At 37.9% G+C, this 16,540-nt stretch overlaps 1 protein-coding gene across 5 annotated transcripts in view; it reads right to left on the reverse strand.

Annotated features, from left to right (window-relative positions):
* The window catches only part of ABCB7 (ATP binding cassette subfamily B member 7), a 105,236-nt gene that overhangs the window by 62,746 nt on the left and 25,950 nt on the right, over positions 1-16,540 (reverse strand). For 2 of the 5 annotated variants that reach the window (NM_001271697.3, NM_001271696.3), the window contains exon 2: positions 961-1,038. The exons of 1 other annotated variant lie outside the window; for it this stretch is intronic. In NM_001271697.3, coding sequence (NP_001258626.1) covers positions 961-1,038 — 78 coding nt within the window. Of the gene's footprint in view, positions 1-960; positions 1,042-16,540 lie in introns of all 5 variants that reach the window. 2 more of the 5 variants (NM_001271699.3, NM_004299.6) reach the window with 1 other exon arrangement.

A 16,540-nucleotide genomic window follows, 5' to 3' on the forward strand; every position in this document is an offset into this window, starting at 1 on the left:
AGTGCCTTCTTGCTCTCACCAGTTGAGATAGAAAAAGTGATTGCCATAAACAGGATATTGATTTTTGGATCAATAATCTCAAAGCACTTTGTAAAAGGAAAACATCAAAAGGTAATTCCTGGTCTGACAATGTCTCTTTGTGCCATTTTTTCCTCTAAAAGATTGAGCAACAAGTTTTATCAAGGGGTCTGGTGAATACCACACAAGAGAGTGAGGTCTTCAACAAAACAAAAGACTAAAATAGAAATAAACTTAGTGGTGTCATAGACAATAAGAAAACTAAGCACATTTTCCCCTTAACACTTTAATAATGGAAAATGTAATTCATTTCTACAGCCTCTGCATAAATTAGAACAATGCTTTGTATCTTAATGGCAAATAATTATTAATAAGAAAGAAAAAATAAACAAAATACCCAAAATTTAGACTGTCTTCTAATTTTCTAGTCTTTTCTATCACGGAGATTTATGGGTCTCATTTTAAAGCACTGAGAATTTTTAAAGATGTCTTTCACTTATATTAGCAATGAAAAATAACCTCATCAACATGTAAACTCAGCACTACCTACCTGATGGGCTCTAATAAGCTTAGAATCCCTTGGTATTTCTACTATCTGAACATTGGTAACATTAAAAAACATAAAGCATTTCACATATCAGATATAAATTAACAGGATAAATTTAAGTGTCAACAAGTTGCTATTACATTTATAAAAGCTTTCTGAAAATATTACTTTAGTTGACACTGATTCAAGAGATTCAGATAGATTTTTCCAGGGGTAGAAAACATCAAGACTTCTCTCTGCATTTCCAGAAGCAGAAACATACCTTCTTATTCATCTTGTCAGCATTTAGAAAAACACAAAAAGGGAGATGTAAAATATGTAGTATAAATTGGGAAATACTCCAAGGGTTTACAGGTTTTTCCTAGCTATATGTAGACATGTTTGCTCAATCTTACCTTTGCAGCATCTAAGAACTGTCCTGAATTGCCTTTTCCCAATCTCTGCCATGTGATACTTTTTAATGACTCTGGAATCTGCTGACAAGGAAAAAAAGTAGGGGGAAGTTTCAGAGTGGACACTTAATATTCAAAGATTATTTCCTTTGTTCATAAACATACAGAAAATTAAAACCATAGCCATATTGGAGAGATGATTATGCTTTTAACGTATGCCTAAAAAGACAAAAAATAGGCCGGGCCTGGTGGCTCACGCCTATAATCCTGGCACTTTGGGAGGCTAAGGCGGGCGGATCACGAGGTCTGGAGATCGAGACCATCCTGGCCAACATGGTGAAACCCCGTCTCTACCAAAAATATAAAAATTAGCTGGGCGTGGTGGCGTGCGCCTGTAGTCCCAGTTACTCAGGAGGTTGAAGCAGGAGAATCGCTTCAACCCAGGAGGTGGAGGCTGCAGTGAGCCGAGATCACGCCACTGCACTCCAGCCTGGCAACAGAGCGAGACTCTGTCTCAAAAAAAAAAAAAAAAAAAAAAAAAAAAAAAAATGACAAAAATAAAATTTGTGGTCCGGGTATGAAGTAAATTGTATTACCCATTATAAATGTCAAATTGTACTTTCTTTTCATCCCCTTTCTTTCTGGTTTCTGTCTCTTTTCTTTTTTTTTTTTTTTTTTTTTTTTTTTTGGTCTTTGCTTCTTAAATCCCCTAAAGTCTTCAACCCAATTTCTTTCTTAAATGGCTTTTATGCTCTTTTCAAATACTCCTCTTTTGTTCTCTCTTTACTGTATTTTATTATGCTCCACATCTTGTTTCTGTGCCTTCTTTCGTCTTAATCGGAATGCTAAATTTATATACTGGTCACAAGATCAGTTTTGACAAACGATTCTATGTAACCAGATGACGGACTCTGTAAGCCAAAAGTAAAATGCTACTAAGTCCCCCAACCAACTGAATGGCCCCCCTCCTGGCCAAGGGGACCCCAAAGAAACCTGGAAGTCTAGTTCAGGCCATGATGCTGGTTGTGTGTGTGTTGGGGGGGGGGGCACGGGGCAGAATTAGACATGCCTTAATATACCCTCTTCCCTTTGGAGTTCAGAAACAACTGACCAGCATTAACATTAAAACAGCGATCTTAAGAGTGACAAAGCAGAATTTGTGGCAATGACATGCCAAATTCCAACCTGACTGCTATAGTATCATATGACAGATTAACAGGCCCTGAAGGAAATCAAAGTATTTTATCCCAAAATATATTTCTTTGACATATTCTGAAATGGCCCTATAAATCTGTCTCTTGTGGGGGAAATTTGCATTCTGTAGAGAATCTCCTTCCCTTATTAAGTCTTTTCTGGAAAGCCTGACACCTTTTAAGGTCTGATAAGAGACATTCACCATCTTTATCTCTGAAGCTTGCGACCTGAAAGCTTCATCTACATGAGAAGAACCTTGGATTCCACAAGCCCCTGTTCAAACTCAAGCATTTCTTTAAGCTGAATTCAACTCTTCAGGCAGGGCTTAACTCTTTCAACCTATGACCTGGAAGTCGCACCACCCCAAGCCCCCCGCCCCCATTGTATAAACACAAGCTATAACCAAACCAACTTGGACACATGTTCTCAGGACCTCCTGAGGTTGTGTCATGTGCCATGGTCCTTAACCTTAGCAAAATAAACCTGTAAATTGAGACCTGTCTCAGATACTCTTTAGTTTGCAACTCCAATCAAAGTTTCCTTGAGGCCACTTTACCCTTGGTAACGTTTCAAAAGTGGAGCTGAAAGAAGGCAGAATAAAGACTCTCTCCATGTGAAATACCACACAGACATCTGCAAAATGGACACACACCTTTTTGAAATCTACCAACAATTTAGTGAGGAAAAAATTTGCTTCTCGGGTCAAGTGTCTCCCAAAGTATCAGAGGCATTTGAACCAGAGCAACTCCATCTTGAGTAGGGGCTTAGTAAAATAAGGCTGAGACGTGCTGGGCTACATTTCCAGGTGGTTAAGGCATTCTAAGTCACAGGATGAGCTACGAGGTCGGCACAAAATACAGGTCATAAAGACCTGGCTGGTAAAACAGGTTGTGTAGTAAAGAAGCTGGCTAAAACCCACCAAAAACCAAGATAGCGACAAGAGTAATCTTGGGTCATCCTCACTAGTACACTCCCACCAGCACCATGACAGTTTACAAATACCATGGCGACATCAGGAAGTTACCCTATATGGTCTAAAAAGGGGAGGCAAGAATAATCCACCTTGATTATGTGCTTGCTTAGCACATAATCAAGAAATAACCATAAAAATCTGCTCTGCCTACAGAATAGCCATTCTTTTATTCCTTTACTTTCTTAATAAACTTGCTTTCCCTTTTCTCTAAGGACTTGCCCTGAATTCTTTCTTGCATGAGATCCAAGAACCCTCTCTTGGGGTCTGGATCAGGACCCCTTTCCAGTAACATCTTTCTGGCAACCACATAAGAGACAATACTGAGGAAACCCTCGACCTAAAGGCTAACTTTGGGTAAGTGGTGAGGTCCAGTAGTATCTTTCTGGAGACCACCGAAGGGACTATACTAAAGAAACCCGACCCAAAGGAAAATCACCTGCGCACACCAATTGACTGACTTTGGGTAGGTCGGGTGCATATACGCAGGTAAAGAATGGGATTGGTTAGAGGCCCAACTTAGGAGTGTTAAGAGTTTCTCCTAAGACAGGGTTAAAGGCTCCTCTCAATAAAAAGCAAGGACACTTGAATGACCTTGGGTTCGAGGCCCAACTTAGGAAGGTTAGGGTCCTTCCTAAGATTTAGGGGGTTAGAGGCCCCTTTCAGTAAAGTCCCTCTCAGCTGAGAACAGGTTTGGCACTATGGGATGTTAACTGCTACTCTATTTGGATTAATCTGTCTTGCACTTTTTGCTGATGGCTATGGATGACAGGATTAGGCATGTACAGGACCATGGGATATGGGGACTTTTTTCCTCCCCAAAAGGGGAAACTTGAGAGCTGATGGGACTGCTGGAAAAAATCCCTTTGCTACTGGCAAGTGGCCACCTGAACTCTTCAGTGTCGCTGCAATGGGTGGGTCTTTCTCTGGCCTCCCTGAGCTCTTTGCCTTCCCCTCCCAATGGAGGCAATACTTTTCTCCCTTTCCTTTCCTTTCTCTCTCTGTGTGAACTGGTTGAATGAATGGTAAAAATCACTGTTTAGCTCCTCTGTAAAATTCTGATTAATTGGAAAAAGGATTTGTGAAGCTAGTCTTAAGCTGTAGTGAATCTGTTATACTTTGTGCTATGAATTTGTCTTTCTGTATCATTCTGTCCTAAAGAGGAGTACCTTAAGATAGAACATGGGCTTAGGATCCCATAAGCCTACTGTTCAAGACAGCCCAGCAAACTGGTCAGTCACGTCCTTGGAAGCTTGACCTTGTAACCACGTGGCAGTGCTTTCTTTTGGTCTCTGCCATCACAATGGCAGCCTGGGTGCAGGACTCAATTTCTGGCTTAGGGAATGACCACTTTCTGGTTTGTTAACTGTGTGCCTTTCTTGAATTTTTCCTTTCTCTGAGCACCTGTGAAGTTACTTTTGGTAAAGTTTAAAAGCCAGAAATATCAGCCGGCTAAAGTCTGATAATAAGAAATTTAAAAGGCCTTTTTTTTTTTTTTAAAGAGCACTGTGGTTAAAAGTCAGCTTAATTAAAAGCAGATATTCCAGTTCTAACAGCCTGGGACTCCTTAGGAAAAAAGAGGAAGTGCCACAGATCCCGTTTTGGAATAAACCTCTGTTTTACTCATGAAACTTCAGGACTAAGAAGTAGATAAGATTCCTCTCAAAATCTAAGGCTCTGTTCCATTTTGCATTCCATTATCTGATATTTTTTACTTTTGGGGGGGTGACAGAAATTAATTTGCATTATGAGAGAACTTTGGTGTGTAATAACTATATAGGAAATATACTTTTGAGGACAGCTAATGGCAGTTATGGGGAAATACTCAGCTCTGCTCTGCAGGTTTGGATCAGAGAAGCATGCTCTTAGCCACCTAGGAAGTATGGAGATGTCCCCATCCCCCACTGAGAGATAACACTCCCATGGGGATGAGCTGATTCCCTCTTTTTGGGATCCAGGATCTGGTATAAAATGGGACCCTTAATTTCTGGAGATCTGTTTTGCCTTCCAGCTGTGCCTGCTTATTATGCCCTAGAAACTAGGCTTTAAAGAGAAACTTAAAAACTGGCGAATGAAGAACCTTACAGCTACAGGATCTTCTGTCTGCGTATTTATATTTGTTGTGTGTATGATGCTTATATCTAAAAGAGCTTTGATTAATTGGTTTAATAATAACAAAAGTTTAGATCAAACATTTTGTCAGAAAAGTAAAAAGTGTAATGACTTAGTTCACATGACTTAAGTAATCTTTGGGAAATAGAAACAGTTTTACATGCAAGGTGTGCAAAGATAGTGAAATGAGTTTTTGGTAAAAGATTACAAGAAGGCATGGAAATAAGGATTTTTCTGCCTAGATTAAAGGGTTAAAGGATTGTTTTAAGTTAGGATAAAGCTGAAAGTCTGAGCAAGTTGTGGAAGGTTTGTGAAAAATTAATCCTGTAAAAAAAATTATGTGTGTGACATACTGGCTAAAGTTAAAGGGGGTATTATTCGGTTTTTCCGTAAGTTGAACACTGGAATAAAAGTACAACAGGTTTTTCTTAGAGCACTTATCTACTGTTTAACAAAAATTTTTGTAAAGGGTTATAAAAGGTTTATGAGAATCTTACCTTATGGTCAAACATTAAAATTGGGTAGATACGTCTATAAGGTTTTGTTAGGAATTGGGTTTGACATCAATAATGCACAAATGCAATGGTGAAATTTGGCTCATTTAGTATAAAAATCATACAGGAAGCACTGTCAAATATGAAATGGTATTTGGCTTTCTTTGGGCTGTATTTATATAAATATGTTACTGATCTCTGTTCCAAAATTATGTAAAACTCCTATAAGCCTGCTATAACTTCGTGTATGTTATTAATAGTTACAATTATTATGTACAATTGTATGCCACAGAAGTAACCAAAATTTCCTTGAATAGTGGCTGTCCTAAGACTTTTTAATATCCACAGACAATTGTTGTCTTGTTCTGATCCTCTTCAAAAGGTGGTTTATAGTCAGCTATATGACTTTGACAGGTGTTCTTAAATGCAGGTGTCTGATAACTTTGCAGATTTATGAAATTAGAATAGAGAAAAAAACTTTTAGGACTCTCATGGAAAGCTAAAATGTTTATGAATATCAAACAGAATAGGAGTGAATTGAATGTACTGAACTAATACAAGACTGAAGTAATCTTTTTTACTTTGCTTAAAATGCTGCTGATCCTTTGTTTTATTTTTCAGAGTCCAGAAAACTTTTAAGCTATTTACAGCTTGTAGCAATTGAGCAAAATATACTCCTGTAAACAAAATTTGGAGCATATATGTTTCTCTCTACCTGATTTTTCCAAAATTTGGAAACTACTTGTGAGTATTCTTAATTTATGGAAATATAGTAATTTGCATAAGTGCAATAAGAAACTGTTTTCTTGGCTGGGCATGGTGGCTCACGCCTGTAATCCCAGCACTTTGGGGGGTCAAGGTGGGTGGATCACTTGAGGTCAGGAGTTTGAGACCAGCCTGGCTAATGGTAAAACCCTGTCTCTACTAAAAATACAATAATTAGCCGGGTGTGGTGGTGGGTGCCTGTAATCCGAGCTACTTGGGAGGCTGAGGCAGGAGAATCACTTGAACCTGGGAGGTGGAGGTTGCCAAGATCATGCCACTGCACTCCAGCCTGGGCAACAGAGTGAGACTTCATCTCAAAAATAAATAAATAAATAAATAAAAATAAACTGTTTTATTTTGCAACAGGACACAATTGGAGAAACTGGTTATTTTACCAAGGCTTTGACTGGAATGGCATGCTTTCCTTTAAGGAATGTAACTTGACTTACAGAGTCAATAAAAGCCCCCTGGGAAAACTGGCCTCATACCTTGTCTACACACTTCCTGTGCAGGGTTCCTAACCTATGGTAAGTAAAGAATGTTGCTTTCTGACAGGCCCAGGAGCCCCAGATTATCCTGGGACCTCAAGAGGAAAGGAATTTAAACAACTGATAGGCATTTGAGGGTACAAACCCATGACTGGGTTTGGCTTTAAAAAAGTCTTCTCTAAGATTCCTTATGAAGCACAGTTCCATCAAAGCCAATTTAAAAAGCCTATGTAGGCTGGGCATGGTGGCTCACACCTGTAATCCCAGCACTTTGGGAGGCTGAGGCGGGCGGATCACTTGGGGTCAGGAGTTTGAGACCAGCCTGGCCAACATGACGAAACCCCGTCTCTAATAAAAATACAAAAATTAGCCAGGTATGGTGGCATGTGCCTGTAATCCCAGCTACTCTGGTGGCTGAGGCAGGAGAATCACTTTAACCCAGGAGGCGGAGGTTGCAATGAGCCAAGATCGTGCCACTGCACTGCAGCCTAGGCGACAGAGCGAGACTCTGTCTCAAAAAAAAAAAAAAAAGTCTATGTAAAAAAAAAAATTATTCTTGTTGGACATTATACAAATAATCAGGCCAAGCATAATAAAGCAAATCAGTCTTACCATGATTTATCTTTAGTAAAAATCGGAGACTGGAGAGAAAAAAAAGTATGTTTCAAGAACTATGGTATACTTGTTGTTATATTCTAGTCTCAACAGTTGTTTTAGAGTGTTTTCTGCAATTTAGACTGACTGCTTGTTCCTGTGAGCCTGCTTGTTCCTGTGATCTCTGGCTGCTGCTCAGAAGAAACAAGAGGGATGGGTAATACAAAAATCAAGATCAGTATTCTATTCTGGACACACCAGAATCAGCTAGCAACCCCACATCAACTTGGTTCCAAGAGTTGCACAGTTCATTGAAAGCCTTCTAATTTAGTTTACTTGGGATAATTTTGCTTATTTTGCTTTACTGTTGTGGAATATATTGTTGTACTCTTTGTGCAGGAATGCAGAATAAGTTTACTCAATCTTAAATTAAACACTTATTAACCTTCCAGATATCGCCTTTTGTCAAAACTCAAGAGTTATGAATGGCCCTCAACACATTGATGCTTTCTGACTGAGCTCCTCTCTACCCTGAATACAAGAGACCCTCACAGTTAGGCAGGAAGATCATCATCCCTATTCAGCCTGAAGAAATTGCATCAGATGGATCTTCATCCTTCTGCAACCCTTAGGATTAAGGGTTCTCTTATAAAAGGGAGGGGTGAAATGTCAGAGGCATTTGAACCAGAGCAACTCCATCTTGAGCAGGGGCTTGGTAAAATAAGGCAGAGACCTGCTGGGCTAAATTCCCAGACAGTTAAGGTATTCTAAGTCACAGGATAAGATAAGAGGTCAGCACAAGATATAGGTCATAAAGACATAGATGATAAAACAGATTGCAGTAAAGAAGCCAGCTAAAATCCACCAAAACCAATATGGCGACAAGAGTAACCTCTGGTCACCCTCACTGCTACACACCCACCAGCGCCATGACAGTTTACAAATGCTATGGCAACATCGGGAAGTTACCCTATGTGGTCTAAAAAGGGGAGGTGTGAATAATCCATCTCTTGTTTAGCATATAATCAAGAAATAACCATAAAAATGGGCGAGCAGCAGCTCATGCTGCTGCCCCGCCTATGGAATAGCCATTCTGCAATGCTGCAATGAACATGGGCATGCAGACATCTCTTTGATATGCTGATTTCATTTCCCTTGTGCCTATAAATAGAAGAGGAATTTCTGGATCATGTAATATTTCTATTTTTAATATTTTGAAGAATCTCTACACTTTTCCAAAATGGTTTTCTCAATGTAGAGTCCCACCAACAGTGTACAAGGGTTTCCTTTTCACCACATCCTCACCAACACTTGTTATCTCTTATCTTTTTGGCAATAGCTATCCTAACAGATATGAAGTGATATTTCATTGTGATTTTGATTTGCATTTCCCTGGTCATTAGTGATGTTGACCACCTTTTCATACCTATTGACAATTTGTATGTCTTCTTTGAAAAGTGTCTATTCAAGTCCTTTGCCCATTTTAAAATTGGGGTGTGTGTGTGTGTGTGTGTGTGTGTGTGTGTGTAAGTTGTGTGAGTTCCTTCTGTATTTTGGATATTAACCCCTTATCAGATATGTGATTTGCAAATATTTTCTCCCATTCCATGGGTTGCTTTATAGTTTTGATGACTGTTTCCTTTGCTGTACAAAAGCTTTTCAGTTTGATTTAGACCTACTTGTTTATTTTTGCTTCCACTGACTTGAGCTTTTGGTGTCATATCCAAAAAATCATTGCCAAGGGTAATGTCAAGGAGCCTTTCCCTATGTTTTCTTCTAGGAGTTTTGAGGGTTTAAGGCTTATGTGTAAGCCTCTTATCCATTTTGAGGGGTTCTTTTGTATGAATAAGATAATGGTCCAGTTTCATTCTTTTGCATGTGGATATCCTGTTTTCCCAACATGATTTATTGAAAAGACTATCTTTTCCACATTTTGTACTTTTGGCACCCTTGTAGAAGTTTAGTTGAATGTATATGGATGGGTTTATTTCTGGGCTCTATATTCTGTTCCATTGGTCTATGTGTCTGTTTTTATGCCAGTACCATACTGTTTTGATTAATACAGCTTTGTAATTTGAAATTAGGAACTGTGATGCCTCCAACTTTGTTCCTCTCTCTCAAGATTGCTTTGGCTATTTGGGGTCGATTGTTCCATGTTAATGTTATGACTTTTTTCTATTGCTGTGAAAAATGCTGTTGAAATTTTTATAGGGATTGTGTTGGGTAGTGTGGAAATTTTTATAATATTAAAATATCTTTCCATAAATCCAAAGATATTAAAATCTTTCCATTTATTTGTGTCCTCTTCAATTTTTTTCATCAGTGCTTCATAGTTTTGAGTATATAGATCTTTCACCTCCTTGGTTAAATTTATTCCTAAGTATTTTATTCTTTTTGATGCTATGGTAAATGAGATTGTTTTCTTGAGCTCGCTTTTCCAGACAGTAAATATTTTAGGGTTTACAGGCATATCGTTTCTGTCACAACAATTCAACTCTGTCATTGTAGCATGAAAGCAACCATACATGATAAGCAAGTGAACAAGTGTGGCTGTGCTCCAATAAAACTTTATGTATGAACAATGAAATCTGAATTTCATGTAATTGTCATCTATCACAAAATATTCTTCTTGATTGTTTTTCCAACCATTAAAAAATGTTTTCAAGTATTCTTAGCACAGGAGCCTTGCAAAAATAGGTGGCATGCTGGATTTGGCCCAAGAGCCATTGATTGCTGACCCCTGCTCTAAATAATTTCTAACACCCCTCAACCTCCAAGGATTTTGAGAATGACAGAGTAAAACAAAAGAAAGTACAACGACCAAAAAATCTCCACCAGCACCACCACAAAAAAGCAACACACAAACAAAAAATATGTATGGGATTCCCCTCTACCTCTAATAGTTTTTCCTTTATCTACCAAATGTTCACATCTCTGGGTACGTAACACCAACAGCAAGGCCTATTTAAAAGACAGAAGAAAAGGTCCTGACAAAAGTTTTTTTATGTTTGTTTAAGCAACTTCTATGAAGTTTCATTGTTCCCATTCAAATAGGTTCATTTATCATAACATTTTTGTCATCAAGAAAATTGCACACTGCTTCATAAGTTTTAGCTAAGTGATGTGAGATTCCAAGCTGCTTGCTACTAAGAGTAACAAAGAATTGCAAAGCATTTGCCAAAATCAGGGCAATTAAAACCAATGGCTGAATATTAAAAGTTAAGAAAAAACTCCAGAACCAATTCCTTTTAAATCATGAAATTTGGGGACGAATGTACAAAGAGGAATTTCTTTATCATATTAAGAGTGAATATACCAAAGACACATTTTAGACACAATAATTTCATTGAGCTGGCTTATTAGAACCCAAGATCTTTAGAAAATTGGTACGAATCTCTGAGTACTTCTAATATTCCTAACCCTATTGTGTTTGTGGACAGAATGGAGAAATTATCACACATTCCACACAACAGCTGGAATGATGAGATAATGTAATAAAAGAAGTTGAGAAAGTAGAATTGGAATATTTTCTGCTTCTTTACAGTTTCAACTTTCAGTAATTTAATACCGAAATTGCTTGCTCTTATATTTACTAATGGGGACTTGGAAGAGAACCCTCAAGCACATTTCTTAACTTTCGATTCCATAGCTGGACAATTTCATTATGTTTTTCTATAATGCTCCTTTACGTTTGTTACTTTTTATGCATGTGTCAGATTGCCACTGGTGATTAAATTACCTCGAAAATTATTTGAAACTCATATAAGATAGCATTTTCATTTACTTGGACCATTCTGTATGGCTCAATATGCAGGTCATATCCCAAACCCCCTGGTTTTCTTTATAAGCATTCCAGCAAAGTCTGATACAAGCCGTCCATAAGTAGGATATATCAGACATAATCTGCTTATAACAGAAAGTGTAGGCTAAGAGAACATTGATATAACACAAACCCAACTCTAGGGCTGACAAATGATATCTAATGAATTCCTGCTTAACAAACTAGATAGAAAAGGTACTTTGAAAAAGGTATTTGGCTTTGTAAATTTTAAATTCCTTTTGGCCTATCTATATCTAGTCTCTTTCTAGCATGCTAAAAGCTAATTTCTACTTCAGAGGTAGGGAAACACAGTTATTTGGGACAATTTCTGATAGCAATCTACTGCTCCCCTCAGCATGGATGTCTTCTCTTTATCTCCTTGCTACTCCATTTTTGTGTCTCCCTTTTCAGGTGTTCACTGATTTCTTTTTGTTCTGCCTGTTTTTAAATTCTTAGTTTAATACTGCTACGGGCACTCAAGCCTGAGGTTTCTAATTCCTATTCCATTATCTCCCCGTGGTCTTACTAAACAGAGGCATGATACAGAATCCAACTGTGTATTTCTGATAATGCTGCTTTTGCCCAAACCAATTGAATTAGCTCCTCAAATGAAAAAAAGGGACTTTTTCAAAAAATATGGTAAAGCCACTCTACCCAATCCCCCCCCAAAAAGATACACACACAAAAAATGCCTTAATTTTGCTCCCTCTCATTTTTCTTCAGGTCTACATGAGCCCTGAAAACCTGTCAGTTTTTTTTCTAAAAGTACCCACTTTTCTTTTCAACTACACTTAAAAAATTCCATGAGGTGACTAAAATTCATACAATAGCTAGAATACTTGTTTTCACAAAATGCCAGAAAGAAAACTGACAGCTCTGCTAGAAGCATTTTAAGAGCTAACTTTTTTTTAAAGCTGGCTGGCTTGAAAAGAAGCACCTAGATCCTTCAAGTCAGTCTAGAACATTTCAAGGGTAAATAAACTTTAAATTATCCCACCAAACTTTTCAAAATGCACTCACTGCTGCCATACAAAAAGGATTGTATCTTCCATGTTGTACACAACAAAATTTTAAATACAAGATCCTTATGCTATAGTTTACACTCTAAAACTGACAGATGCAGGCATAAGTTTTGGCTGCTTGAAATAAGTAAGTTCTTTGAAACAAATGAGAACAATGACACAACGTACCAGAATTGCTGGGACACAGCTAAAGCAGTGTTTAGAGTGAAATTTATAGCACTAAATGCCCACATGAGAAAGCGGGAAAGATCTAAAATCAACACCCTAACATGACAATTAAAAGAACTAAAGAAGCAAGAGCAAACAAATTCAAAAGCTAGCAGAAGACAAGAAATAATTAAGATCAGAGCAGAACTGAAGGAGATAGAGACAGGAAAAATGCTTCAAAAAAAAAATCAATGAATCCAGGAGCTGGATTTTTAAAAGATTAACAAAATAGATAGATGACTAGCCACACTAATAAAGAAGAAAAGAGAGAAGAATTAAATAGACACAATAAAAAATGATAAAGGGGATATCACCACTGATTCCACAGAAATACAAACTACCATCAGAGAATACTATAAACAACTCTATGCAAATAAACCAGAAAATCTAGAAGAAATGGATAAAATCCTGGACACATGCACCCTCCCAAGACTAAACCAGGAAGAAGTTGAATCCCTGAATAGACCAATAACAAGTTCTGAAATTGAGGCAGGAATTAATAGCCTACCAACCAAAAAAAGTCCAGGACCAGACAGATTCACAGCTGAATTCTACCCGAGGTACAAAGAGGAACTGGTACCACTGCTTCTAAAACTATTCCAAACAATGGAAAAAAAGGGACTCCTCTCTAACTCATCTTATGTGGTTGGCAATATCCTGATAACAAAACCTGGCAGAGACACAACAAAAAAAGAAAATTTCAGGCCAATATCCCTGATGAACAAGGATGCGAAAATCCTCCATAAAATACTGGCAAACTGAATCCAGCAGCACATTAAAAAACTTATCCACCACAATCAAGTTGGCTTCACCCCTGGGATGCAAGGCTGGTTCAATATACGCAAATCAGTAAATGTAATCCATCACACAAACAGAACCAATGAAAAAAACCACATGATTATCTCAATAGATGCAGAAAACACCTTCGATAAAATTCAACACCCCTTCATGCCAAAAGCTCTCAATAAACTAGGTATTGATGGAACGCATCTCAAAATAATAAGAACTATTTATGACAAACCCACAGCCAATATCATACTAAATGGGCAAAAACTGGAAGCATTCCCTTTGAAAACTGGCACAAGGACATGGATGCCCTCTTTCACCACTCCTATTCAACATAGTATTGCAAGTTCTGGCCAGGGCAATCAGGCAAGAGAAAGAAACAAAGGGTATTCAAATAGGAAGAGAGGTAGTCAAATTGTCTCTGTTTGCAAATGACATGACTGTATCTTTAGAAAACCCCATGGTCTCAGCCCAAAAACTCCTTAAGCTGATAAGCAACTTCAGCAAAGTCACAGGATACAAAATGGAAGTGCAAAAATCACAACCATTCCTGTGCAATCATTCAATGTGCAAAAATCACAAGCATTCTTATACACCAATAACAGACAAACAGAGAGCGAAATCATGAGTGAACTCCCATTCACAATTGCTACAAAGGGAATAAAATACCTAGGAATACAACTTACAAGGGATGTGAAGGACCTCTTCAAGAAGAACTACAAACCACTGCTCAAGGAAATAAGAGAGGACACAAACAAATGGAGAAATATTCCATGCTCATGGATAGGAAGAATCAATATCGTGAAAATGGCTATACTGCCCAAAGTAATTGATAGATTCAATGCTATTCCCATCAAGTTACCACTGACTTTCTTCACAGAATTCAAAAGAACTACTTTAAATTTCATATGGAACCAAAAAAGAGCCCATATAGCCAAGAGAATCCTAAAGAAAAAGAAAAAAGCTGGAGGCATCACACCACCTGACTTCAAACTATACTACAAGGCTATGGTAACCAAAACAGCATGATACTGGTACCAAAACAGATATATAGACCAATGGAACAGAACAGGGGCCTCAGAAGTAACACCACACATCTACAACCATCTGATCTTTGACAAACCTGACAAAAACAAGCAATAGGGAAAGGATTCCCTATTTAACAAATGGTGTTGGAAAAACTGGCTAGCCATAAGCAGAAAACTGAAACTGGACCACCTCCTTACACCTTATACAAAAATTAACTCAAAATGGATTAAAGACTTAAACATAAGACCTAAAACCATGAAATCCCTACAAGAAAACCTAGGCAATACCATTCAGGACATAGGCATGGGCAAAGACTTCATGACTAAAACACCAAAAGCAAAGGCAACAAAAGCCAAAATTGACAAATGGGATCTAATTAAACTAAAGAGCTTCTACACTGCAAAATAAACTATCAGTGAACAGGCAACCTAAAGAACAGAAGAAAATTTTTGCAATCTATCCATCTGACAAAGGGCTAATATCCAGAATCTACAAGGAACTTAATCAAATTTACAAGAAAAAAACCAAATAACCCCATCAAAAAGTGAGCGAAGGATATGAAAAGACACTTTTCAAACGAAGACATTTATGCAGCCAATAAACATCTGAAAAAAAGCTCATCATCACTGCTCATTAGAGAAATGCAAATCAAAACCACAATGAGATACCATCCCACGCCAGTTAGAATGGCGATCATTAAAAAGTCAGGAAAGAACAGATGCTGGAGAGGATGTAGAGAAACTGGAATGCTTTTACACTGTTGGTGGGAGTGTAAATTAGTTCAACCATTGTGGAAGATAGTGTGGCAATTCCTCAAGGATCTATAACTAGAAATACCATTTAACCCAGCAATCCCATTACTGAGTATATACCCAAAGGATTATAAATCATGCTACTATAAAGACACATGCACACGTATGTTTATTGCAGCACTATTCACAATAGCAAAGACTTGGAACCAACCCAATTGCCCACCAATGATACACTGGATAAACAAAATGTAGCACATACACACCATGGAATACTATGCAGCCACAAAAAAGGATGAGTTAATGTCCTTTGCAGGGACATGGATGAAGCTGGAAACCATCATTCTCAGCAAACTAACACAGGAACAGAAAACCAAGCACCGCATGTTCTCACCCTTAAGTGGGAGTTGAACAATGAGAACATACGGGCACGGGGAGGGGAACATCTCACACTGGGGCCCATTTGGGGTTGGGGAGCAAGGGAAGAGATAGCATTAGCAGAAATATCTAATGTAGATGACGGGTTGATGGATGCAGCAAATCACCATGGCACATGTATACCTATGTAACAAACCTGCACGTTCTGCACGTGTATCCCAGAACTTAAAGTATAATAAATATATATAATATATATATATATATTTTGACTACCTTCCCACCATCATCCACCCACAAGGAAACCCTTTCACTATTAGTTTACCCCTAAAGATGCTTAGTCCAGAACAGTATAGAGGGTTCGCTGAAGGCCAGGGTAGTTAGTATTTTACCACTTTTCGTATTTTTGTTTTGATTTTGGCTTGCTAAGGTATTTTTACATTATACAACAATGCAAATTAGTAACAGCTATCACATAATCATTTTTAGTAATGAACAACAGTGGCTACCACTCACTGAGCACTTATTATTTGGCTATTCTAATGCCCAATACTACATTATCTCATTTCATTCTCACTGCAACCCTACAAGGTAGCTAATACTATTATTATTTTCCCATTTTACAGATTAGAAACTGAGGCTTAGAGAGGCTTATTTGTTCAAGTTCATACAGCCTGTAAGTGGTGGAATGGAGATAACCCATTCCTAACACTACAGTACTGACAATATTAGCAATGTCACTGAATCTAGGGAATTTACTAATTGTCATATTACTGACTGATAACCTTGAAATGTCTAGGTTAACTTTTCTGTTGCTATTAAGGCATACAGGATTTTGTTTGTTTCTTGGTCCAAGAATCAATGTAATTCTGATTTTAAAAATACAGGAGTGATATCACCAAAAATGACAAGAGTATGGGGCTATAAAAATTCATCCCTCCACTAAGGCAACAATTTAGCTAGCAAAAACTGTCAGAT

Source organism: Homo sapiens, chromosome X (genome assembly GCF_000001405.40).
Source record: "Homo sapiens chromosome X, GRCh38.p14 Primary Assembly".
Taxonomy (NCBI): Eukaryota; Metazoa; Chordata; class Mammalia; order Primates; family Hominidae; genus Homo; species Homo sapiens.